The sequence below is a fragment of the Homo sapiens genome, chromosome 15 (genome assembly GCF_000001405.40).
Source record: "Homo sapiens chromosome 15, GRCh38.p14 Primary Assembly".
In the NCBI taxonomy this organism is placed as follows: Eukaryota; Metazoa; Chordata; class Mammalia; order Primates; family Hominidae; genus Homo; species Homo sapiens.
Window position 1 is genome coordinate 83,398,294 of NC_000015.10, and position 2,060 is coordinate 83,400,353.

Here is a 2,060-nt window from a genome sequence, read left to right on the forward strand (position 1 = left end):
GGACAGCACACATCCCGTGAGATACAGAAAGTCGGAGTGATAGGCCAGTGTGGAAGCCAATTACTACAGAAATTTAAAAAAATATAGAAAATGTATATTTTCTTTAGAATACAAAGGAAATGATGTTCTCAGGCAGCCTTGCTGTTCAGAAACAAAGCTTTTCATCATGCTTTGATTAAAGGTAAGGTACTTTCTTAATCTAGATCCATCCACCGAACAGCTGGACAAACCTCAGTTTGGAAAATTATTGCCAAATGTTGTGGAATCTCCCTTGCCATGCTTGTTCTACAATTTGGTTGGAGTTCTGTACCTGGGACAGATGGATGTTTGGGAAATTACTTTACTCTACTGAACATAGCAGACCGTGGGACTTGTGCGTGATTATTACCAAAACCATCGCTAACAAACACTTTTCCAAATTATGACTCATTCCCCTGAGCTGGCTCTTCACAGCGTCTGCTTAGAATACCCGGCCTGATCACTCCTTTTGTCATCTGACTTGCAGACGGGTGCCTGATCTCCTTTGATATACTGTACATGACATCCTAACAAACCCTTCTCTTTAATCAAAGGAATCAGACATATGCCACCGTCAGAAGTCAGGGTGGGGCGAACACAGAGCAGATGTGTTCCTGCAGGTCAGATGGAATGAGGGGATTTGGAACATACACTTGGCATAATCTTTAAATTAACCAGAGGATCTAATTTTAAAATAAAACCCCACATTTTTTGCGGGGCAGAGACATCATAGCCAGCAGCTTTTAGCAGCAGCAAGAAAGCAAACGTTCTGAGGCTTTTCATAAATCCATTTAGAAGTATAGCATTATGTGTGGAAATTTTTGGGCCAGAGAGTCTTACCTTTTTAGATGTCTACAGAAGAAAGAAAACACTTCCACATTCAAAAACCAAAGGGGATATAGATCTCTGTTTTTTTTTTGGTTTTGTTTTTTTTTTGAGATGGAGTCTCGCTCTGTCACCCAGGCTAGAGTACAGTGGCCCGATCTCAGCTCACTGCAACCTTCACCTCCCGGGTTCAAGTGATTCTTCTGCCTCAGTCACCCGAGCAGCTGGGATTACAGGCGTGTGCCACCACGCCCAGCTAATTTTTGTATCTTTAGTAGAGTCAGGGTTTCACCATATTGGCCAGGCTGGTCTCAAACTCCTGACCTCCTGATCTGCCCGCCTTGGTCTCCCAAAGTCCAGGGATTACAGGCGTGAGTGACCGCACCGATCTCTGGGTTTTAAAGCAGCCTTTGAATAAAGGCAGTATACTACTTGTCTATACACAATCATTTTTAAAAATCATATTGCTGGGTGTACATTCGCAGCAGAATAAAAATAAGTCTTTTCTGTGTGTGTTTTATTTTTCACAATTCGGCAGGGCTGTTTTCTTTCCAAGGGAGAAAACGTGCTCGGCAAAGGGCCTGTAATGATGGACATGCTCAATAAGTGCTGGAATAAGATGCAGGTGTTGAGCCAGAGGTTGGACTAACTATTTAGGACAGACCTTGTAAGCCTGAGATGTCTGAGAGTCTGCGTCTGACACATCCACCTGTCTCCTCCACTCCACCTCAAGGTGCTGCATGTGGCTGAGGAAGGGCCATACTGGATGTGGTTCCCTGGGTCCACTGCCCTCCCGCACAACCTGTCTGCTCTGGACCCCAGGTGCTGCCTGCCAAGACTGTGCCAGTAGACCCCCATCCTGTCCTGTACTGGCTCTTCACCCAGACCACCATTCCTGGAAAACAACATCTGCTTCCTCCCAGTTCTTCCCTTTTGGCTGTCAGTACCAATTCTGGGAATGAAGAGACTGATTAAACTGCTCTCCCAGAATTTCTCTCCTTTATCCACAAATAGGCGCCTTATTTCCATTATTTTCACCGCTAGGAGATGGGGTAAGAAAATAGAAAGACTAGGCCAGGCGCGGTGGCTCATGCCTGTAGTCCCAGCACTTTTGGAGGCCGAGGCGGGCAGATCATGAGGTCAGGAGTTTGAGACCAGACTGGCCAACATGGTGAAACCCCATCTCTACTAAAGATATAAAAAATTAGCCGGGTGTG

General features: G+C 45.3%; 1 annotated feature.

The window, feature by feature from the left end:
* Positions 1-1,200: an enhancer, noted in NCBI's record as "MED14-independent group 3 enhancer chr15:84067046-84068245 (GRCh37/hg19 assembly coordinates)". NCBI's record gives its function as "activates an origin of replication core promoter dependent on BRD2, BRD4, P300/CBP and CDK7 cofactors, and independent of MED14, by STARR-seq in HCT116 cells {active_cell/tissue: HCT116}" and the evidence as "EXISTENCE:reporter gene assay evidence [ECO:0000049][PMID:35650434]".